The sequence below is a fragment of the Homo sapiens genome, chromosome 2 (assembly GCF_000001405.40).
Source record: "Homo sapiens chromosome 2, GRCh38.p14 Primary Assembly".
NCBI classification, from domain to species: Eukaryota; Metazoa; Chordata; class Mammalia; order Primates; family Hominidae; genus Homo; species Homo sapiens.
The window spans coordinates 30091503-30116585 of record NC_000002.12 but is presented as its reverse complement, the minus strand read 5'-3'; the positions used below and the strand labels follow the sequence as shown (position 1 = coordinate 30116585).

At 44.5% G+C, this 25083-nt stretch overlaps 1 annotated feature.

Annotated features, from left to right (window-relative positions):
• Positions 601–650: an enhancer, noted in NCBI's record as "active region_15532". NCBI's record gives its function as "activates an Ori minimal core promoter by ATAC-STARR-seq in GM12878 lymphoblastoid cells {active_cell/tissue: GM12878}" and the evidence as "EXISTENCE:reporter gene assay evidence [ECO:0000049][PMID:35858748]".

Below are 25083 nucleotides of genomic sequence, written 5' to 3'. Positions count from 1 at the left end.
CATTTGAGGCACTGACACCATCTTAGAGATTTATACAAATACCACACTGCTCAAAGCAGCAAGGGCACGCCTGTAAGAGCAGATGCACAACCTGCCTTCATAACAGGAGAGCAATTGTAACTGAGGTTCCTCGGTCTGGAGGCCACCAGAGAATCCCCTAAGCCCAGCCCAGCCTCTTGATCAGGACTTTTTGGGCTAATGCCCCAGGTCATTTCTTTGCTGTCTGACTGAGCCTCCTCCCTCTGATAACCGTACAGTGCCATCTCTTCTATAAAAACAAAAGTTTTCTTCTAAAGCTGTCTTCCACCGCCAACCAGAAGCCCAAGGCCTCTTATTTCTTACAAGTTTCTGCTCCCAGAGCCATTTTATTTCTCCTTATTGGGTGATCAACTTTTCCCTCTTCGCCTGGGACTTTTCTGCTTTTAGGATTGAAAGTCCTTGGTCGTAGGCAGTCCCCTCAGTCCCAGGTAAAAACCAGAATGGTTGGTCACCGCTCTACACTGGGAGAGGGTAGAGAAATGTTTTTTAATTCTCATCTATACATCAGTTTCTTTAGCTGCTTAATGTATGCAGCCTGTCCGATTTTGTGACAAACTGTCACAACATTCCCAGAAATGGCGGCGGATGGAACCACATTCAGGGATCCCACTGGAGTGCACTTGTCCGACCTAGTTGACTTGTTGCAGACCTGCACTTCCGCTGTTGAACACTAGATGGTGGCCTTGCACCCTTGTTTAGAGAAAGTGCGACACTGAACCTGGCCTTCAGGAAGTGCTGGGCATTTGGGAAGAACATGGGCCAGAGAGAAGTGAAAAAATATATGCTTATGGGACAGCCTAGAAGAAGCAGACCAGTGTGCAATGGCAAGCGCTAAAAAGGAAAAATATCAGATTTGGCTTAAAATTCCTTAAGCATTTAGACATTGGGATGGAAAGAAAGGCATGTTTATTTTACCAGGAAGTGGGTCTGCTTTCACCAGATGATCTGAATAACTTGTCCACTGGGAATACATCGTATAAAGGAGAAAAAAAAAAAAGCGAACAAGTTGGTCAGACACAGGGAACATCTTCTGGGTGGGTTTAATTACAGCTTTAGCTCCCTGGGTGAGCTACCATCCCGATACCAGAGCCGGCGCTGCAGGTGTGCTTAGCCAGCCCAGCCAGGGCCGAAGATACTGACAAGACCGGAGGAGGCCCCTCTCGAGACTGAGTGACTCACACCACCTGCAGAGAGCACAGTTGCCACGAGCCTTGCTCATCCTCCTCGAGCAGCTAAATTTATATTCTGAGAGCAGAACACTGGCGCTGGAGCTGTCAGGAGGGAACAGGGAGGAGATGGGAAGGAAGAGTGCCATCATCTTGGAGCGGGCTCGGGGGTGGAAGTGGATTCACATTCTAAGGGCTTTGTAAGTGAGCCCACAAGATTTTTCATGGAGAAACTGGTGTCTGAGAAATTACAGTTTTCTCTTAAATGTTCCCCTCTCCTCCACTTAAACCCCAGTAACAGCTGTCAAGGTCAAGGGAAAATCTTCCCTTTCATTCTCTGAAGTTTTGCTGAAAAATCAACTCACAAAAGGCAGATAATAAGAGAAAAGGCATAATACACATTTATTAGCATGCACAAAGCTGAATCAGAGTGACTGCCCCATATCCTGGTGGGGCCCAGATACTTACATAGCCTTATTTCAGATGGAAGCGGGGAGATGGGGAATATAGGTACTTCTGTTGAGAGGCAAGAAATGATTACTAGGGAGAATGAATGGATCGGGAACATAGATTAACTTGTAAATGGTTATCTCTGGAAATTGAATGAGCCTGAGAGACAGACGTTATCCTGTGAAAGGGTCTCTTCAGGTGTGGTTACATTGGATAGATAATAAGATAACAGGAAGAAGAAGGAAAAACAATTACTTTCCTTGGTGGGTTCACCTGGTCTTTATGCAGATAGGATAAAAGTCTCTTCTAGCATCTGTTGATCTCTAAGGGCCTTCAAAATACTCATTATAGGCCAGACATGGTGGCTTATACCTGTAATCCCAGCAGTTTGGGAGGCCAAGGTGGGAGGATTTTTTGAGCCCAGGAGTTTGAGACTAGCCTGGGCAATATAGTGAGATCCCCTCCCCACTGCCATCTCTACAAAAATAATTTTAAAAATTAGCTGGGCACGATGGTTCACACCTGTAGTCCCAGCTACTCAGGAGGCTGAGGTGGGAAGATCTCTTGAGCTCAAGAGGTCAAGGCTGCACTGAGCTGAGATCACGTTGCTGTACTCCAGCCTGAGTGACAGAGTGAGACCCTGCCTCAAAAAAAAAAAAAGTTAAAAAACCCCAAATCCTCATTATACCAAGGAGCCATATTTTGGGGTGAAGTTGCCTGCACCCCTTCATTACTAACAAGTTATGCTACTGAACTCCCTTTCAAAAGCTTGAGTTAACGATTAACACCCTGCCCTTCACAAGACATACTCATCAACCCAGAGAATGGTGGAGCTGGCCTGGCACTCAGTGACCCGGAGGCTTTTCAAACTGCTGGGGAGAGCTAGCTCTCCATACTCACCCCAGGGTTTTCTTATACAAAGATGCATTTCATTCTGCATGTAGAATATTTAAGATATCCAAAGAAGCTGTTACCACTTTTTATCTTTTTATGAGATCTGGAAAAACTGACCTTGAAAAATAAATCCTGTACTAAAAATACAAGTTTGATTAATTTTACAAGCTCAGAGAGATGAAGTAAAACCACAGCCTTCCCCTAGAGCTGGTCCAGCAGGATGACTAAGCCCAGGCAGAGCCCAGTCATAAGGCACGCTTTTCCTGCCCTGATGTCATGTCCTTGGAGCGGGTTAGAAGAGGTCTCTAAAGCAGTGGCCTGGAGTGGAGTCACAGCGTGGAAGATGAGGGGGTTTGCAGGAGAAAGCTTGAAGGAGGCTTCACCACAGAGCTTCAGTGGAACCTCACAGTTGCCTTGGTCCTTCAGAGAGTGGGCCTTTGATGCCTCAAATCTGTTTTTTCTTAGACTGTGGGGCTGGAGGAAGGTTTTCACTTTTGCATCTGCCCTGCAGGTGTAAGTCTGATAGGGCACCAGCTGAGGACAGCCCTGAACTGCAGGGCTGGCAGGAATGATCCAGACTGGATAGAAACGCCATGTGAGTGGTGGCGAGTAGTCGTGTGACAGTAGGCAGATAGTCAGGTATCAGCAGGGCGGGAGAGGCCTCCCCCCAACACACACCAGGAGTGCTGGGCGACCATCAGGTGAGGGTCAGGTGGTTGTTACCTATTTCTCTAAAGTAATAATTGTTCACAGTGGCACCAGGGAAAGGCAGTCTCCTAATAGATAGAAAACATCTGAAACTGGTGATCAGCAGCTTCCCCATAAGATCTCAGGAGAGGGGAGAAGTAACCCAAGACCCCGAAAGTATGTTGTATTAGAGTTCTCTAGAGGGAAAGAACTAATAGGATAGATGTCTATATGAGGAAGAGTTTATTAAGGAGCATTGACTCATACGATCACAAGCTGAAGCCCCACAATAGGCCATCTGCAAGCTGAGGAGCAAGGAAGCCAGTCCGAGTCCCAAAACCTTAAAAGCAAGGAAGCCGACAGCACAGCCTTCAATCTGTGGCCGAAGGCCTGAGAGCCCCAGGCAAACCAATGGTTTAAGTCCAAGAGTCCAAAGCTGAAGAACTTTGTCTGATGTTCGAGGGCAGGAAGCATCCAGCACGGGAGAAAGATGAGGGTCGGAAGACTCAGCAAGTCGGCTTCTCCTACCTTCTTCTGCCTGGTTTATTCTAGCGGCATCAGCAGCTGATTGGATGGTGCATACCCCCATCGAGGGTGGGTCTGCCTCTCCCAGTCCAGTGATTCAAATGTTAATCTCCTTTGGCAACACCCTCACAGACACACCCAGTAACAATACTTTGCGTCCTTCAATCCAGTCAAGCTGACGCTCAATATTAACCATCACATATGCCACCGTATAAAACCCCAAGTCAAGAGGTCAAGCCACGCAATTGGTCTTTCCAGTTGCCCTCTTGGTGTTCTTCCAAGTGTATCTTCCTTCCTTCCTTTCATTCACTATGCTACAGCTTTTTTTTTTTTTTTTTTTTTGAGACGGAGTCTTGTTCTGTCACCCAGGCTGGAGTGCAGTGGCGCGATCTCGGCTCACTGCAAGCTCCACCTCCTGGGTTCACGCCATTCTCCTGCCTCAGCCTCCTGAGCAGCTGGGATTACAGGAGTGTGCCACCACACCTTGCTAATTTTAGTATTTTTAGTAGAGACGGGGTTTCACTATGTTGGCCAGGCTAGTCTTGAACTCCTGACCTCAAGTGATCCGCCCTGCCTGAGCCTCCCAAATGCTGGGATTACAGGTGTGAGCCACCGCACCTGGCCTGCTCTACAGCTTTTTAATAAACTTTCACTTCTGCCCTAAAACTTGCCTTGGTTGCCAGGCACAGTGGCTCATGCCTGTAATCCCAGCACTTTGGGAGGCTAAGGTGAGTGGATCACCTGAGGTCAGGAGTTCGAGACTAGCCTGGCCAACATGGTGAAACCCTGTCTCTACTAAAAATACAAAAATTAGTCGGGCGTGGTGGCGGGCACCTGTAATCTCAGCTACTCAGGAGGCTGAGGCAGGAGAATCACTTGAGCCCGGGAAGCGGAAGTTGCAATGAGCCGAGATCGCACCAGCCTGGCTGACACAGTGAGACTCTTTCTCAAAAAGACCAAAAAAAAACAAAACAAAACTTACCATGATGTCTCCTTCTGCTTTATGCCCCTCAGCCAAATTCTTTCTTCTGAGGAGGCAAGAATTGAGGTTGCTGCAGACGCAGAGGGATAACCACCACCGCTAGGAGTAGAAGGAGGGAGCCTTGAGCGGTAGGAAAACAAACCCGGGTCTCTTAACTCCCCAGCCCTGGTTTCTTCACCTCTCACGTTAGGTATAGTAAAAGAGGCTCCACCCATTGCCCATGGTCATTTTCAGAAACAAAATGATGAAGGTGACCAGGCGTTTTAAAATAGAAAGTCAAGTATTTAAAATAGCTCACAGTTTTTGAGCACGTACCATGTTAAGCACTTTGCCACCAGCTGTGGTACTTCTGCGGTGGCACTTCTTACACAAGTGAGAAGCAGCGACACCGTGACACCTGCACGCCGGAGCCCTGCGTTAGTGAGAAGCAGCGACACCGTGACACCTGCACGCCGGAGCCCTGCGTTAGTGAGAAGCAGCGACACCGTGACACCTGCACGCCGGAGCCCTGCGTTAGGCTGGGTAAGGGCGGGGACCTGGGCATCACACAGTCTTAGATGTGGGCCTGCCTCCAACAGCTCCCTCCTGGGTGTGATGCTGAAGGGGGTCCTTGACACCTCTGAAGTCTCAGTCTCCTCAAGGTCACACCCAGCTTATAGGATTGTGCTTCTGTGGATTAAACAAGACACAGCAGTCCTCCCTTATCCATGGTTCTGTTTTCCTTGGCCAAAAATATTAAATAGAAAATTCCAGAAATAAACAATTTATGTTTTAAATTGAATGTTATGATGAAATCTCACACCGTCCTGCTCCATCCTGGCTGGGCGTGAATCATCCCTGTGTTCAGCATATCCACTGTCTATACCCGCTACCCCTTAGTCACTTAGTTACTGTCTAGGTTGTCAGATCAAAACCACAGTATGGGCCGGGCATGGTGGCTCATGCCTGTAATCCCAGTGCTTTGGGAGGTGGAGGTAGGAGGATCATTGGAGGCCGGGTGTTTAAGGCCAGCCTGGGCAACATAGTGAGACCCTGTCTCAACAAAACATTAAAAAGTTAGCCAGGCGTGGGTGGTATACATCTATAGTCCTAGCTACTTGGGAGACTGAGGTGGGAGGATCGCTTGAGTTCAGGAATTGGAAGCTACAGTGAGCTATGATTGTGCCACTGCACTCCAGCTTGGGTGACAGAGGGAGACCCTGTCTAAAAAACAACAAAGAAACAAACAAAAACATAGTCTATAGAAAGCTTGATACGATCTGCAGTTTCAGGCATTCACTGGGGGTCTTGGAATGTATCCCTCCTGAATAAGGGGGTACCACTATCTATTACACACATATAACATTCAGCAAAATACTTATCAAGGGCCTATAAATATTAGCTTACAAAAGATACTTTTATTTGGGCTTCTGTCCTAGTCACTTAGAGGTCATGCCTGCACCTGCCTTTGAAGAGCTTACAACCTAATTAGGAGGTAAGACATTAACATGAGCAGACCACTAACATATAGGGCAGCCAGTAAAAAATAATAATGAGGTGATTCAGACTTTATGTATTTTAAGGGATTTAGAGTAAGGAGAGTGGTAACTTCAAGCTGGGGTAGGGGCTGGGGTATGGAATGAGAATGACTTTTTGCAAAGCAAACTATACATCCATATATTGGATCTTCTGTCACCCTCGAGGCAACCGTGTAAGGGTAATGCCAACATTACCCTTGGGTTATTACCCAAGGGTAATAACCATGACTGGGTAATGCCAACATCCTGTCCTTGTGTAATCAGTTTCCTGCAGGTCTCTCGCATGCCAGTTACAGTTTATACTGGTGGCTCCAGGCTGTTTGGAGTAAACCATGGGAATAAAATGGAATAGAGCGGTGGTTCTCAAACGTAAGTGTGTTCAGGATCACTTGGAAGGTTTATTAGAAACTCCACAGGCCCTGTCCCCAGAGATTTGGAAATGGGAGGTTTAGGGTACGGCCCATGAGTTTGCATTTCTAGCCAGTCCCCAGGTGATGGCTGGGCTGAGTGTCTGTGGGCCACACGCTGGGAGCAGTGCTGGAGTGGAGCAGTGTCCAGGGCTGCCCTGGGATGAGAGCATGCATCTGTGTCCCCTACTTACAGGGGGTGGCCTCTGATGTACTCTCAGAACCTGGACTTCTTCCTGTATAAACCTTTGAGGCTCATGTCTTGGGTGACCTGGAGAGAATTACTTTTTTTTTTTTTTTTTGATGAGATGGAGTTTCGCCTTTCTTGCCCAGGCTGGAGTGCAATGGCGCAATCTCGGCTCACCGCAACCTCCGTGCCTCCCAGATTCAAGCAATTCTCTTGCCTCAGCCTCCTGAGTAGCTGGGATTACAGGCATGTGCCACCATACCCAGCAAATTTTGTATTTTTAGTAGAGACGGGCTTTCTCCATGTTGGTCAGTCTGGTGTCAAACTCCCGACCTCAGGTGATCCGCCTGCCTCGGCCTCCCAAAGTGCTGGGATTACAGGCGTGAGCCACCGAGCCCGGCGATAATTACTTAATCTCTCTGAACATCTGTGGAAATGATAGCTACATGGTAGAGTTGCTGTGAGGACAAATGCAAGTGGAAGCTCACTGCACGGGCCCCCTTGCCTTGGAGCCTTCCTCTCACGCCCTAGACCCCACCAACCTCTCCCACCTGACTTTTCAGGCTTACACTTTCACCTGCTGCCGCTATGGGGTATGGCTGTCCCTGTCTGTCTTGGTTGATTCTTTTTGGTCCTAGATCCTCTTCCAGGACTTTGACTGACACACCTGAACTCTTCTGACTGACCCCACACCTGGCCATAGTTCCTCCTCCCCTGTTGGTCTTTCTTGCTGCCAACACATTTCTGAAAATATTGTCCTTTAGGTGTTTTTACATAAAGGCATCTGGACTCTGTGAACCCTTCTTATTGTCGTAGCTGACTCTGGTGTCCAGAAGGATCAGAACGTGGGAAGTCCTAGTTTATAGTGGTTGTATGTAATTTTGGCTGTTCCCTCCAGCCAGTCACAGAATGAGCATGTGAGCCAGGCTGGGCTATTCTTTGTGCTTCCCTTTCTTGCTCACAATAATTGGTCAGTGGAGTGAGCACTGACCAAGGCCAAGTCAATCAATGTTCTTCCCTGGGGTTTTTGATACAGTAACTAATAAAATCTACCACCTCAGATGATGCAGTGTAGCAGGTTGTATTTTTCAAAGATGGTTACAACAACGTCCCCCAGACGTTGCTGCGTATGATGTAACATTTTTATTTCACCTATAAAGAGGTGGGGTTGGTTTTCCCTTTTCTTGAATCTCGGTAAGGGTGGGACTAAGGTGAAAATAATGCTTTGTGACATCTAAGGCTGTGTAATAAAAGATAATGCAGTTTGCATCTGATCCTCTGGGGACAGTGCTTTTGGAACCCTGGAACCATGCTATGAGGAAGTCCAGGCAGCCACACTGGCCATAGATAGGTGCTCCGGCCACACCCCCAGCTGAGGTCCCCAGCAGCTAACATCAATCCTCAGACAAGCAGGCAAGGACCCCTCAGGCATTCCAGCTCCCAGCTGTCCAGTGACCTCTTGCCTTTGAACCCCAACTGATGCCACACAGACTAGAGATTAGATGTCCCCTCTGAGCCCTGCCCAAATTATAGATTCATGAGCAAAACAAATTCTTGTTGTATGAAGCCACTAACTTTGGGGTGGCTTGTAATAAATGACTGAAATATGGAACTTGGTAATAAGAATTTGGAATTTCCATCAGCATGTCCCCATTATATAAAGAAAATTTATTGTAAATAGGGGAGAATGCAGAGACAGCAGAAATAAAAGTGATTCCAATGATAATCGAGTCCCCAATTTCAGTCTCCAAGGTCCTCAGATCCTGACTTCCTTCTGCAACTTTTCCACTCACACTGAGCTGCCTACCCCAGTTTCTTCCCAGCAAATCCATTTTCTTGCTTAAGGTAGTTTGATTTGGGTTTCTGCTGCCACGTTCACAAAGAGGTTTTTGTGGTGCTTGTTTCCTTCAGAATGTGCTGTCCATCAGTGCTCATTGACGCGGGGTCCAAAGAGCAGCATGATCAGCCTCTACTGGGAGAAAAGCAAAATTCCAGGCACCATCATCCCAAGCCTACAGAATCTGTGGGGGTGGGGCCCTGGAATCTGTTTTTTTTTTTTTTTTTTTTTTTTTTTTTTTTTTTGAGACTGAGTCACGCTCTGTCGCCCAGGCTGGAGTGCAGTGGTATGATCTCGGCTCACTGCAACCTCTGCCTCCCGGTTCAAGCAATTCTCCTGCCTCAGCCTCCCGAGTAGCTGGGATTACAGGCGCCCGCCACCACACCGGCTTATTTTTTTACTTTTATTTTTAGTAGAGACAGGGTTTCACCATGTTGGCCAGGCTGGTTTCCAATTCCTGACCTCAAGTGATCTGCCAGCCTCGGCCTCCCAAAGTGCTGGGATTACAGGCATGAGCTACCGTGCCCAGCAAGAATCTATATCTTTTTGTTTGTTTTGGGACAGGGTCTTGCTCTGTTGCCCAGGCTGGAGCATGGTGGTGCAATCATAGCTCACTGCAGCCTCGACCTCCCAAGGCTCAAGTGATCCTCCCACCTCACCCTCCCAAGTAGGTGGGACCACAGGCATGTGCCACCACACTCAGCTAATTTTTTAAATTTTTTGTAGAGAAGGGTGTTAGTCCAAACTGTACCTTTTTTTTTTTTTTTTTTTGAGGCGGAGTTTCACTCTTGTTGCCCAGGCTGGAGTGCAATGGTGCGATCTTGGCTCACAATGACTTCTGGTCACCACGACCTCTGCCTCCCAAGTTCAAGCAATTCTCCTGCCTCAGCCTCCTGAGTAGCTGGGATTACAGGCATGCACCACCATGCCTGGCTAATTTTGTAGCTTTAGTACAGTTGGGGTTTCTCCATGTTGGTTAGGCTGGTCTCGAACTCCTGACCTCAGGTGATCCACCTGCCTCGGCCTCCCAAAGTGTTAGGATTACAGGCATGAGCCACCGCACCCGGCCCTAACTGTACCATTTTATAAGCCTCCCAACCCTGCCATTTCACTGACCTTGGTCAAAGTGAAACATTCCATGGGTGTTTGGGCCGTGAGAAACAGCATGTCTAACCATCTGACCACAAGGCACAGGAACGTCCTTATCATACCCTGCCTGGCAAAGGCCCAACTGAAGGAACATCCCTGTCATATTCTGCTGGGAAAAGGTGCAAGGAACATCACATTCTGCGGGAACAAGAGTCAAACTGCCCCATCGTGGGGACGTCTTACCAACATCTTCCCTGGCAGCAAACCATACTGCCCAGACCCCTCCCCTCGAGGCACATAAGTACCCTAGCCTGTAAGCGGTGGTGGCTCTGGCATTAAGCTGGTCCCCCCGCCTCCACAGGTTTTTGCAATCTACCTGTGTTGCTGTAGAGCCACCCTCTCTCTCTCTGTGTCTTTCTTTAACCCTCTCCTTACCTTTAAAAAAACCTAACAAAGCAGCTGGGCGCAGTGGCTCATGCCTGTAATCCCAGCAGTTTGGGAGGCCGAGGCGGGCGGACCACCTGAGATCAGGAGTTTGAGACCAGCCTGACCAACATGGAGAAACCCCGTCTCTGCTAAAAATACAAAATTAGCTGGGCATGGTGGCGCATGCCACTACTTGGAGGCTGAGGCAGGAGAATTGCTTGAACCCGGGAGGTGGAGGTTATGGTGAGCCGAGATGGCACCATTGCACTCCAGCCTGGGCAACAAGAGAGAAACTCCATCTCAAAAAAAAAAAAAAAAAAAAAAAAAAATCTAACAAAAGGATATCACTATGTTACCCAGGCTGTTCTGGAACTCTTGGGCTCAAGAGATCTACCTGCTTCAGTCTCCCAAAGTGGTGAGATTACAGGCTTGAACCACTGTGCCTGGCCAGAATCTTTACCTTAGCAAGCTTGCCTGGTGATTTTTATATGTGTTATAGTCCCAGAAACTTGTTCTACATTATAGCAGGGCCCCATTTTTTCTCACACTTTTTAAAGCATTGGTTAGAGGATGGTGCAAAATTCCTGAAGGTCAGCTCCCGAGTCTGCCTCATCTACTGTGTCACTCCTGTGAGCTGCATTCCAGATGAGGAGTGCTGTTCGCAGAGGGGTGGAAAAGGAAGGTGGATGATGGTGACACTGCAAGGAAGTCATTTTCCCATCAAGATAAAGGGTTTGAAATTGTTCATTCATAGCCATTTATTTTCTCTACAGCATATGCTGAGCCCTTTCCCAGTGTTGGGAGCATATCAAGATATTGACACAGTTCCTGTCCTTAAGGTAATTAAACTTTAGTTTTGGAAAAAGATGTGACTAAATTTTTTTTTTTTTTTTTTTTGAGACGGAGTCTCACTCTATCGCCCAGGTTGGGGTGCAGTAGCTCAGTCTTGGCTCACTGCAACCTCTGCCTCCCAGGTTCAGGCAATTCTCCTGCCTCAGCCTCCCGAGTAGCTGGGATTACAGGTGCCCACCACCATGGCTGGCTAAGTTTTGTTTTTTAGTAGAGATGGGGTTTCACCATGTTGGCCGGACTGGTCTCAAACTCCCAACCTCAAGCATCCACCCGCCTCGGCCTCCCAAAGTGTTGGGATTACAGGCATGAGCCACCACGCCCAGCTGACTAAAATAATTTAATAGGCCGGGTGCAGTGGCTCATGCCTGTAATCCCAGCACTTTGGGAGGGTGAAGCAGGCGGATCACCTGAGATCGGAAGTTCGAGACCAGCCTGACCAACATGGAGATACCTGGTCTCTACTAAAAACACAAAATCAGCTGGGCATGGTGGCGGGCACCTGTAATCCCAGCTACTCAGGAGGCTGAGGCAAGGAGAATCACTTGAACCCAGGAGGCGGAGGTTGTGGTGAGCCGAGATCGTGCCATTGCGCTCCAGCCTGGGCAAGAAGAGTGAAATTCTGTCTCAAAAAAAAAAAAAAAAAAAAAATTAGTAATACACTGTAGGTAGCCCATGCCAAAAAGCCAAATGAAAGATCCAGCCATGCACCCTGGACACCCTATACAATCACTATTTCAAATATCTTGTTCCCTGGCCCCACATACTATCGAAACATCCTCCAAAGTCCAATTTATGAGCATCCAAGTGACTTTTCCCAGAGTGTCTTTCACATCTGTCAACAGCATAAAACTCTGTATCCACATGTTCCAATTTTGGGTTCAGAAATACAGTCTCTATAGACAGGTTTTTAATGAAAGGAAAGATAAATGGTCATCTAGTGGTGAAGCCAAGAAAAGATTAGCAGAGGATGTAAAATGAAGCTTGGTCTAAAAGGGGGATGGGCAGCCTAGGGTGGAGACCAGAAGTGCTGAGGACCAGCCAGCAGGCCAGCGAGACTGTATTGTAGAGGAGTCTGCAGAGCAGGCAGGTGGGAACTGGGTTTGGCTTTGTAAGCCATAGTGGGCCACAGGAGATTAGAGAATGAGAGCTCGGGATGGAAATATTCTCTGAGAAGAATTATTCCAACAACAGCATGCAAGATGTGTCAGGGCATGAGAGTCTGTGAAATGACTTTCCTAGAGGTTTTGCTGCGTCCCATCCTGGGGGGACAGAAGGGCTGGCAGTTGGCTTTTTAGGGTCTTTACTATCATATGAAAAACATTCTTATATTTGCATTTGTAAAGGTTCCTGGTTTAACTGCGGTCTTGGTTGATCATTTTCCCAGGAGGCTTATTTTTTTTTAAACTCGTGCTTCAAAATGCTGATAATCTCTTTCTAACCTGTGCTCATTTTGTCCTGAATCCTATCCCCCCAGCCCTATGTGTGGCATTCTCTGCTTAAGTCAGTGTTTGGCAAACAGTAGTGATGACCGGAGAACATTAAAAACAACAGAAGCAACTTTATTGAAGTTTAATTAATGTAGAATAGATTGCAATATGTTTTGACATATATACATGACCATCACCACATACAATCAAGACTATAAACACCTACGTTATCCCTGGAAGTTTCCTCATGCTAGTTAGGGGTTATTTTTAGCTGCATTTTGCAGGAAGACTATCTTCCTGATTGGGGGTGGTGGTGATCAGAATAAAAAATTAATCCCCTTTGGGCAGAAACATGGGCTCCATGCCATTTCATGAACAATTCCATTCACCGTCCTATCTTCCTTTCCTCCCACAGCCCTGCAGGATTTAGGGAGTTGGTTCTGACTAACCATTACATCCCAATATTAGGTTGGCAGCAGTGGAAGTCATACATTGATGCAAAAGGTACAATGCCTCTTTCATGGCTTTTAATTATCCCCTTTTCTCTTCCCCACTAAAAATAAAAATAGCCATCATTTTTGATTGCCCACTAAATGCCAGGTACTGGTTTAAAAGCTCAACACATCATTTTCCACTCAATCTACTTGTCCAAGGTAGATACTTTTTTTCCACCTAATGGAGAAGTTAGTGAGTTGCCTAAGGCCCCTATGTAGAGTTGGTTAGCAGAGGTGCTGGCCTTTGAACCTTCCACTATTAACTGCAAGCAGCGCCTCTGTGTGCAGCAGTGCGGGTTGTGTACTACACAACTCCAGTGGGTCTCCATTCATGTGAATGCAATGGTCTGCTCCAAAGTCCTTTCTCTTTTCCTTTTATTACTTTGCCTACATAAATGAAACTGTTGTCTCTTCCTTCTAAATGAGCCAGGCAAGATGGAAACTGTTAGTGTGGAGGAATGTTCCCTGAGACAGACTGGCTGGCCATTAGGAACCTTGTAAGTTGTAATGTATTATAGTGAGTTCACCAAGGTCCAGAATCTGGCTCTCAATTTTGTACACAATTTGGCCCTTAACAGTGGTGAAATGGTTGGGTTGGGTTGTCCCCCAGGATAGAACACAGCCTAATGTCATTAAGTGTTCAGATGAAGTAGCTGGCTCTCTGTGTCGGGAGTCCATACTCTTCAAGCCACAGTAAAAGACTGTGGCCTTTTCGTGGGTCAGAGTTTTTCAGACTTGACCATCCTGACCCACACCAATTAAGCCACAATACTTAATGTACTCCAAGTATAGCAAGCAATCATGTTGGCAAGATCAGTGCATTCTTTCCTTAAAGACCACAGGAAGCAAGATGATCAGAAGGTGGCTTGAAGAGTATGGACTCCAGACACAGACAGCCAGCTACCTCATCTGAACACTTAATGACATTAGGCTGTGTTCTATCTTGGGGGACAACTCAGCCCAACTGTTCCACCACTGTTAAGGGCTGAATGGTGTACCTTTCCCCACACCCATTTACATGTTGAAGCCCCAGCTTCCAGTGTGAATGTATCTGGAGATAGGGTCATGAGGAGGTAATTAAGATTAAATAAGGCCCTAAGTGTGGAGTCCTGATCCTATAGGACTATGATCTTATAAAAATAGGAAGACCTCCTTTCTTCCCCAGCACATGAGAACATAGCAAGAAGGTGGAAATTTACAAGCCAGGAAGGGGGTCCTCAGCAGAGCCTAGCTATGCTGGCATCCTGATCCTGGACTTTCAGCCTGTAGAACCGTGAGTCTAAGTCCCCCTGAAGGCTCTGGTAATTTGTTATGGCAGCTTGAGGTGACTAAGATAACCATAGTTGTAACCCTGGCAGACTAAATTTTGTTCCTGCCTAAACTGGGACCTCGTCATCAGGGCAGTGCTTGAATGGGCTCACTCCCCTCTCCTGAGCTGCTCCCAAACCTGCTTTTCCTCCTGGGTTCCCCAGTTTGGCACCTGGCACCACTGCCTACCTACTCACTCAAGACAGAAACCTGACATCTTAGTCTGTGTAGTGCTGCTATAACAGGATACCTGAGGCTGGGTAATTTATAAAGAAAAGAGGTTTATTTAGCTCATGGTCCTGCAGGCTGGTAAGTATGAGAAGCATGGTGCTGGCATCTGTTTGGCTTCTGGTGAGGGCCACATTCTGTATCATAACATGGTGGAGAGGATCAAAGGGGAAACAGACGTGTGACGAAGAGGCAGCCCGAGGGACATCCTGGCTTTATAACAACCCACTCTCCAGGAAATGAATCCAGTCTCATCTGAGCTAGAACTCTAGAACTCACTTACTAGGCAAGAATGGCACCAAACCATTCATGAGGGATCAGACCCCATGACCCCAACTCCCACTAGGCCCACCTTCCAACGCTACCATAATGGGGATCAAATTTCAACATGAGGTCTGGGGATAAACTCAAACCATAGCACAGGGGAATCATGCTTGTTTTAGAGTTTTCTTTTTTCTTGCCCCTTTAGCTAATCTGCCACCAAGTCTTGCCATCTCCTCTGTCTCCATGTCTCTTCTTTCCATGCATCTATTACTACCCGAATTCAGACCACTTTCATCTCTTTCCTAAGGGGTTCCCAAGTCTCCTCTCTGCTCACCTATGATCTAATCTCTTCTCGGGGGCATCCAAATCAGTAAAGAGGAAGTCAAACTGTCGCTGTTTGCTGATAATATAATCGTATATAGGCTGGTAAGTATGAGAGGCATACTTGAAAACCCTAAAGATTCCTCCTAAAAGCTCCTAGAATTGATAAATGAATTCAGCAAAGTTTCAGGATACAAAATTAACGTACACAAATCAGTAGCTCTGCTATACACAAACAGCGACCACGCTGAGAATCAAATCAAGTACTCAACCCCTTTTACAGTAGCTGCAAAAAAATAAAATGCTTAGGAATATACCTAACTAAGGAGGTGAAAGACCTCTACAAGGAAAACTACAAAACACTGCTGAAAGAAATAATAGATGACACAAACAAATAGAAACACATCCCATGCTCATGGATGGGTAGAATCAATATTGTGAAAATGATGACCATACTGCCAAAAGCAAACTACAGATTCAATGGAATTCCCATCAGAATACCACCATCACTCTTCACAGAACTAGAAAAAACAATCCTAAAACTCATATGGAACCAAAAGAGAGACCACATAGCCAAAGCAAGACTAAGCAAAAATAACAAATCTGGAGGCATCGCATTACGTGATTTCAAAGTATACTGTAAGGCCATAGTCACCAAAACAGCTTGATGCTGGTATAAAAATAGCACATAGACCAATCGAACAGAATAGAGAACCCAGAAATAAAGCTAAATACTTACAGCCAACTGATCTTCAACAAAGCAAACAAAAACATAAAGTGGGGAAAGGACACCCTATTCAACAAATGGTGCTGAGATAATTGGCCAACCACCTGTAAAAGAATGAAGCTGGATCCTCATCTCTCATCTTACACAAAAATCAACTCAAGGTGGATCAAAGACTTAAATCTAAGACCTGAAACCATAAAAATTCTAGAAGATAACATTGAAAAAACCCTTCTAGACACTGGCTTAGGAAAAGACTTTATGACCAAGAACTCCAAAGCAAATGCAACAAAAACAAAGATAAATAGATTGTACTTAATTAAACTAAAAAGCTTCCGCATAGCAACAGAAACATCAGCAGAGTAAACAGACAACCCACAGAGTGGGAGAAAATCTTTGCAATCTATATATCTGACAAATAACTAATATCCAGAACCTAGAAGGAGCTTAAATAAATTAGCAAGAAAAAACAAACAATCCCACCAAAAAGTGGGCTAAGGACATGAATAGACAATTCTCAAAAGAAGATATACAAATGGCCAACAAACATATGAAAAATGCTCAACATCACTAATGATTAGGGAAATGCAAATCAAAACCACAGTGCAATACCACCTTACTCCCTCAAGAATGGCCATAATCAAAAAAATTAAAAAAAAATAGATGTTGGCAGGGTTGTGGTGAAAAGGGAACACTCTTACACTGCTGGTAGAAATGTAAACTAGTACAACCACCATGGAAAACAGTGTGGAGATTCCTTAAATAACTAAATGTAGAACTACTATTTGATCCAGCAATCCCACTACTGGGTATCTACCCAGAGGAAAATAAGTCATTATACAAAAAAGATACTTGCACTTGCATGCTTATAGCAGCACAATTCACAGTTGCAAAAATATGGAACCAGCTCAAATGCCCACCAATCAACAGGTGGATAAAGAAATTGTGGTATATATATATATATACACACATACACCATGGAATATACTCAGCCATAAGAAGGAACGAAGTAATAGCACTTGTGGCAACCTGGATAGAATGAGAGACCATTATTTTAAGTGAAGTAACTCAGGAATGGAAAACCAAACATCATATGTTCTCACTCATAAGTGGAAGCTAAGCTATGAGGATGTAAAGGCATAAGAATGCCTCAGCAGTCAGAGAACTGTTTTCTAAAAAGTAAATCTGGGCCAGGCATGGTGACTCATGCCTGTAATCCTAACAATTTTGGAGGCCTAGGTGGGAGGATTGCTTGAGCCCAGAAGTTTGAGAGCAGCCTGGGCAACATAGCAAGACCCCATCTCTACAAAAAATAAAAATAAAAAAATTAGCCAGGTGGGGTGGTGGGCACCTGTGGTCCCAGCTACTAAGGAGGCTGAGGCAGGAGGATTATGTGAGCCCAGGAGTTCAAGGTTGCAGTGAGCTATGATTGTGCCACTGCACTCCAGCCTGGGTGACAGAGCAAGACCCCATCTCTAAAATGAATAATAAAATAAAGAAAAATATAAAATAAATAAAATAAATCTGACTGTGTTACTCCAAAACCCAAACTTCTTAATGCAGACTTCAAAGCCACACAAGATCTTGACCTTTCTTCTCCCTGGTCTCTCTCTCCTCAGTTATGCTCCGGTCTTGCTGAATTCTGTCTGACCATTTGCTGGCCCTGTTGTGTTCAGTCTCAGAAAGTTGACACACACTGGTCTCTCTGCTTAGAATACTCTTCTTCTTTTTATATTTATACTTATAGTTTTATTTATTTTCATTTTGGTAAGAACACTTAACAAGAAGTCTACCCTCTTAACAAAATTTTAAGTGTAGAATATAGTGTTGTTGACTGTAGGAGCAATTTGTACACCAGATGTGGATGTATTCACCTTGCAGAGCTGAAACTCTGTACCTCACCCCCAAGCCCACCCTGCCCTGTCCTGCCTAACTCCTATCGCTTTCTGGCTCCCGGGGCTCCATGTGCTTCTCTATTATGGTCCACATCCTGCTTCATGATGGTCGCTGGCTTAATTATGTTAAAGGAAAACTTTAGACAAATTAACTTTAACAGAGTTTAATTTAGAAAAGAATGATTCGAAAATTTGGCAGTCCCCAGAACCAGAATAGGCTCAGAGCCACTCTGGGGCTGCCACATAGTCGGATCCATTTATGGACAGAAAAAGAAAAGTCCAGAAAACGGAAGTGAGGTGCAGAAATAACTGGATCGGTTGCAGCTCAGCATTTGCCTTATTTGAATACAGTTTGAATGGTTGGCCACCTGTGATTGGCCAAAACTGTGTGACTGGTACAAGAGCAGGTTACAGTCTATTGACACATCTAGTTAGGTTACAGTTCACTACGTACGGAGAGACCTTTAGGCTGAACTTAAAATATGTAAGAAGGCAGCTTTAAACTAAATGTGGTTTAATGATTATCTGTCTTCCGTTCTGGCTGTAAGCCCCTTCAAGGTAGGGGTCCTGACTTTCATCCTCATGGCTGTAACTTTAGCATCTAGCAGTCAGCCAAGCATATAAGAGGTACTTAATGAACGTTGGTTGAGTGAGTTTACCTCTCTGGCTCTCCTTTCTATGTTCCTATTTCTGAATATTCCCTTTTCAACTTACATTCTTTTCTTAGATATGCTATGGAATAAAACAAATGATAGTACTAGCTTCTCTGTTTCAGGAGCCATTCTATTTTTTCAGGTGACTTGTTACCTTGCTTCTGTGTATTATGTGTGGGTTTATACTTTGACTCAAAGGGGAAGCTGAGCACCCAGTCCAGGTTTTGAGAAGCTACATTATTGCCTTCTGAAGCCTACAGGAACATTAACTCATTCTCCAGGGCAGCATCGTTTTCTCAAAGGTGCCATCCCATGAAAGCACTGTCTAACTATCACTAAACTAATATTTAATGCCAAATGTAACCAGAATGCATTGTACTCTAAATTGCGAATAAGGCGTGAGGACTCTGGGTCATCTTAAGCATCACTAAGGGCAGGTTGGGTTATGCTGTGATCACAAAATCTAGTGATTTGTCACCACAGATTTAGTGATTTGAAACAAAGGTTTATTTCTTGCTTATGCTACTTGTTCATTAGGGTTGGTGGAAGCCTCTGTTCCATGTCACTCACTCAGGGACAAGGTAGACAGAGCCTTAGTCTTCTGGAGCATCACTGGGTGACAGCAACAAGGGAAGTGGGAAAATGGAAAACTGTTCACCATCTCTTAAATGCTTCCACTTAGAAATGACACACATTATTTTCATTCACATTTTACTGACCAAATTGAGTCATATAAGGGGCAGGGAGGTGTAATCCTGCTATGTGCCAGGAAGGAGGAGAACTAGAGATACTGGGAAACAATACTGATGTTTAATTGCTGTAAAAATGGAGACAAAAACAACCCACAAAACACATAGACAATTTCAAAATTGATGTAATTGCTTTGCCCAGTTCAACAATGATGGTAAGATAAAAGAAGACACAGGTTTCATAGCAGATGTGCTCTGGTGGAAGGCCGGGCACACCATGATGGAGGAAAGGTCAGGTTTGGGTAGCAAGAGCCAGAAAAGGAGTTCAGTTGGGAGGCTCTGAGAAAGAAGGAAGCAGCAGGGACACAAGGCGAGAAGAGCCAGGAGGTAAGGGATCCGGGCAAGGTCTCGGCCGCCTTCCGCTGCCACGCTCAGGTGAGCAACCTTTCAACTGATTGCTTGTGAGTGTGCTCTCACCTCTCCCACCTCGTGGTGTCTTAAAGCTGCCTCCCAGATGCTGATAACTCAGTCAGGTTAATGACAGCCACGCTTGGAAAATGGTCTCAAGTCCGGGGAGCTGGTGTAAGGTGAGGAGGTCTCAGAGCATCCAGTGTGGGACTTACAGTATCAGTCAGGAGACAAACCATCCCAGTTCATGTAAGAGAGGACATTTAATATAAAGCATCATCTACTTAAGGAACTGAAAAGGCAAAAAGGGAACGCTAAGGGAACACGGAGGTGGTAGCTGCAGGAAGCACTCACACTCCTAGGTTTGGGCTGCAAAGGAAGAGGTTGGAAGTTTAGAGAAAGGGGTGCTGCTCAACTGGTGCTTGTGTCCCTGGGCTCAGAGGAGGTGCCCTGTGGACCTGGGACCCACATCTCTTGAGGAGGGAGCCCTGCTGGCTGGTGCTGGTGTCTCTGAGGCAGCGTGATAAGACTGGTCATTCAAGTGTTGGAAAAACTGCAAACTGGATTCAGCTGCTGCTGTTGCAAGTAACTGCTGCTGCCGATGTAAAGCAGCAGAGCTGGGTGATACTCAGAAATAAGAAGCTGCCAGGAAAGAGCACATCCCCTTTCCCTCCTCCAGCCTTGAAGATTCCCTCTTAGTGTCCTCTATTACCAAAGCCTAATGGCAAAGTACAGTTTCAGCCCCAGCATCACAGAGCAGGGAAAGAAAAGTGATTTTGGCTGGGCGCGGTGGCTCACGGCTGTAATCCCGGCACTTTGAGAGGCTGAGGTGGGTGGATCGCCTGAGGTCAGGAGTTCGAGGCTAGCCTGGCCCAACATGGTGAAACCCCGTCTCTACTAAAAATACAAAAATTAGCCAGGCATGGTGGGCAAGCCTGTAATCCCAGCTACTCGGAAGGCTGAGGCAGGAGAATCGCTTGAACCCGGGAGGCGGACGTTGCAGTGAGCTGAGATCATGCCATTGCACTCCAGCCTAGGCTACAAGAGCGAAACTCTGTCTCCAAAAAAAAAAAAAAAAAAAAGAAAAGAAAAGTGATTTTGAAGCTGAGAGACAACAGCGTACTGACCGGCACAGAAGAAGGAAGATTTGTTTAAGAAACTTTGAAGCAGTAAATATTTAATTCAGGTTGAACATTCCTAACCCAGAAATCTGAAATCCAAAATTCCCACAAATTCAAAACTTTTTTGAGCCCTGATATGATACTCAGAAGCCCTGCTCAAAGAAACTGCTAATTGAGGCACTTCAGATTTCCGATTTTCAAATTAAGGACGCGTCACCGGTAAGTATAATGCAAATAAATATTCCAGAATCTGAAAAAAATGTGAAATCCAAAATGCTTCTGGTCCCACGCATTTTGGATAAGGGATATTCAACCTGTATTAGCAAATTCTTCCTTTGTGGAAGATTCCATTGTGGTTAGAGAATGAACTGTATAATTTATTATTTTGCATTTGTTGAGGTTTGCATCATGCCCCAGGATATGGTTTGTCTTGGGATATGTTCCATAAGCACTTGAAGAAAATGTGTATTCTTCTTCTGTTGGCTGGAGTGGAATCTAAATGTCAGTTTGATTCCGCCGGATATAGCATTGTTGAGTTCTTCTATAATCTTGCTGATTTTCTCTCTTGTTTTATCAATAGTGGCGAGAGGGATGTTGAACACTCCAGTTGTAATTGTGGATTTTTCTATTTCTCCTTTTCATTCTATTAGTTTTTGCTTCACATATTTTGCGGCTCTGTTGTTTGGTGTGTACACATTTAGAATTGCTATGTCTTCTTGCTGGATTGACCCTTTATCATTATGGTATATCCCTGTCTGTCCCTGGTAATTTTCTTTGCTTCGAAGTTTACTTTATCTGATAATAGTATAGCCAATCCTGTATTTTTTGGATTAATGTTTTCACTGCCCAGTCAGCCCTCTGTATCAGCTGGTTCCACACTGTGAATTTAAGCAACCACAAAGATTGAAAATATTTGAAAAAAAATAATGACACAACAATAAAAATAATACAAATTTTAAAATACAGTATAACAGCTATTTACATTGCATTTACAGTGTATTAAGTGTTGTAAATAACCTAGAGATGATTTAAAGTACAGGGAAGGGTGTACATAGATTATATGTAAATAGTATGCTATTTTATGTAAGGAACTTGAGCATACAAGGATTTTGGTATACTCAGGGGGTCCTGAAAGTAATATCCCCCACAGGGATGACTATATATCCTTGTCTACCCTTTTACTTTCAAACTGTCTAGATGGTCATATTTGAAGTATTTTCTGGTAGACAGAATGCTGATTTTATTTTTTTTTTAATTTTTTTTTTTTAATTTTTTAAACTAGAGATGAGGTCTTGCTATGTTGCCCAGCCTGGTCTCAAACTCCTGGGCTCAAGTGATCCTCCTGCCTTAGCCTTTCAAACTGTTGGTATTAGAAGTGTGAGCTACCACAGCTGGCCAACAGCATACTGTTGAGTAATGGGTTTAATCCCTCTGCCAAGCTCTATTTTTTTTTTGATATTATATGTACCAGGTACAAAGCGATGTTATAATAAATGTATAGAGTGTGAAATGAGTGACTCAAGCTAATTAATATATCAATCACCATAAATACATTTTATTTGTTCCTCCTGTCTAACTACAACTTTGTACTCTTTGATCAACATGTCCCCAATTTCTGTCTTTTAATTGGTGTATTTAGACCATTTACACTGAGTGTGATTGTTGATACAATACAGCTTAAATTTGCCATTTTGTTTTATTTTTTCTCTTTGCTTCCTGTCTTTAATTTATTGGTTTCCTTTTTTCTCCCTTCCTGTGATTTTCTTGAACATTTTTTAGAATTCCATTTTGTTTTATCTGCTTTTATAGTGGTTGGTCCAGGTATTATGTTATATATACATAATTTATCATTATCTATTGTTGTCAACATTTTACCAGTTCAAGTGAAGTATAGAACCCTTAACTCTCCTTACGTTCCTTTACCCTCTCTCTCCCACTTATAATGTTGTCTTAACTCTTTCTTCTAGATATGCTTAGAAAAACATCAGACAATTTTTGCTTCAACCATTAAATATAACTTAGACAACTCAAGAGGAGAAGGAAAGTCTATTGAATTTACCACTGTGTTTGCTCTTTCTGTTGTTCTTTTTGCCATTGTGATGTTTTAAATTCCTTTTAAAACAAAAACACTGCCTTTAAAATTTTTTTAAAAGAACTTCCTTTAGGCTGGGCACCATGGCTCATGTCTGTAATTCCAGCACTTTCGGAGGCTGAGGTGGGAGGATTGCTTGAGCCTAGGAGTTCAAGACCAGCCTGGGCAAGATAGTGAGACCCCATCTCTACAAAAAATAAAAATGAGCCAGGCATGGCAGTGTGCACCTGTGGTCCCAGTTACTTGAGAGGCTGAGGTGGGAATATCACTTGAACCCTGGAAGTCAAGGCTGCAGGAGCTGTGATCATGCCAGTCAGTGAACTCCAGTCTGGGTGACAGAGTAAGACCCTGTCTCCCCACCTCCCCACCCCCCTCCCAAAAAAAGACCTGGCCTGCTAGCAAGAAATTCCCTTAGTTTTCTTTTATCTGAGAGTGTCTTGATTTCTCCTTCATTCCTAAAGGGTATTTTCTCTAGATATGGAATTCTGAGTTGACAGTTGTTTTCTTTCGACACATGAAAAATGCCGTAACAGTTTTCCTTCTGGCCTCTTGGTTTCTTTTGTGAAATCTGTTGTCACTTGCATTTTTTTCCCCGATACCTGTCACTTCTCTCTTGCTGCTGTTCAAGATGTTTTTTCTTTGTCTTTACTTTTCACAAGTTCAAATATGACGTGCCTTGTTGTGGATTTCTTTTGATTATTATTTGGGGTTTACAAAACTTGAATCTGTGAGTTATATCTTTTGTCAAATTTGGGAAATTTTCAATCATTATTTCTTTGAGTACTTTTTCAGTCCAGTTCTCTTTCTCCTCCCCTTCTGGAACTCTGATGAAACAAATATTAGCTCTTTTGTTATAGTATTATGTTTTCATTAAGCTCTTTTTCTTTTTGTATTTAAAAATTTTAATTATGAATTCAGTGCCCCAATGGTGCTTAGAGGCTAAAAGGTAGACTCTGCCCCGACTTCTGTGGGATACTGGCCAAGTGACCATTTCTCTCTGATGCTAATGTCCCATGTCAATGAAAAGAGCCAAACTCTATTACATATTTGAAGGGATCTATTCTGAGCCAAATATGAGTGACCATGGCCCACAGCACAGTCTCAACGGGTCCTAAGAGCATGTGCTCAAGGTGGCTGGGTCACAGCTTTGTTTTATACAGTTTAGGAAGACATTAGACATTAGTCAGTACATGTGAGGTATACATTGGTTCATTCCAGAAAGGCAGGACAACTCCAAGTGGGTGGGGATTGGTGGAGGATGTTGGGGAGGACTTAGAGGTCATAGGTAGATTCAAAGATTTTCTGATTGGCAATTGACTGAAAGAATTAAGTTATTATCTAAAAACCTGGGATCAATAGAAAGGAGTGTCTGGATTAAGATAAGGGGTTGAGGAGACCAAGGTTCTTATTATGTAGGTGAAGTCTCCTACATGGTCACCCTTAGAGACAGCAGATGGCAAATTTTTTTTTTTTTTTTTTTTTGGAGACAGAGTCTCACTCTGTCATCCAGGGTGGAGTGCAGTGGCACAATCTCAGCTCACTGCAAGCTCCACTTCCCAGGTTCACGCCATTCTCCTGCCTCAGCCTCCCGAGTAGCTGGGACTACAGGCGCCCACTACCACGCCCAGCTAATTTTTATTTTTGTATTTTTAGTAGAGATGGGGTTTCACCGTGTTAGCCAGGATGGTCTTGATCTCCTGACCTCGTGATCCTCCCACCTCGGCCTCCCAAAGTGCTGGGATTACAGGCATGAGCCACTGCGCCTGGCCGATGGCAAATGTTTCTTACCTTTAAAAGGTTCTAGACTTTCAGTTAATTTCTTTAGAATTGGGAGGGCCTGGAAACGGAGCGATCTAGTTATATTAACAGAAATTCTTTACAGATGCAAATTTCCCCCCCACAAAAAGATGGCTTTGCAGAGCCATTTCAAAATATGGCAAAGAAACATATTTTGGGGTAAAATATTTTGATTTCTTTCTTTATCTGTTGTGTTATGTTATGCCAGAATCAGGTTTGAAAGTAAGCCATGTTGTAAATAGGGTTAAATAAAACCCATCTGATGAGATTTTATGGTTTGTAGCCCCAGGGTACTTAGACAGGAATTTTGGCAAGAGAGAAAAAGGTCGGAGTTTACATGCCCTAACCTGGGAATTAGGATCCACTGATGGAAGAAATGCAGGCTCTGCAAACAGAACATCCTTTTCTTTCCTTCTTGCTTCCCTTTGCCATTGACTCTGGCCCTGTCCCTTATTATTTGCCCCTTCCCTTTGATGTTCCTTTTCTTCTTATCCAATTTTCATACTTTTTCCCCCTTTTTTCTTGTTTTTCTGGCTTTACCTGTAGGAACAAAGTGTCAGATAAGCCTCAGAGATGGCATCTTTTTGTCCTCAGGGAGTGATGG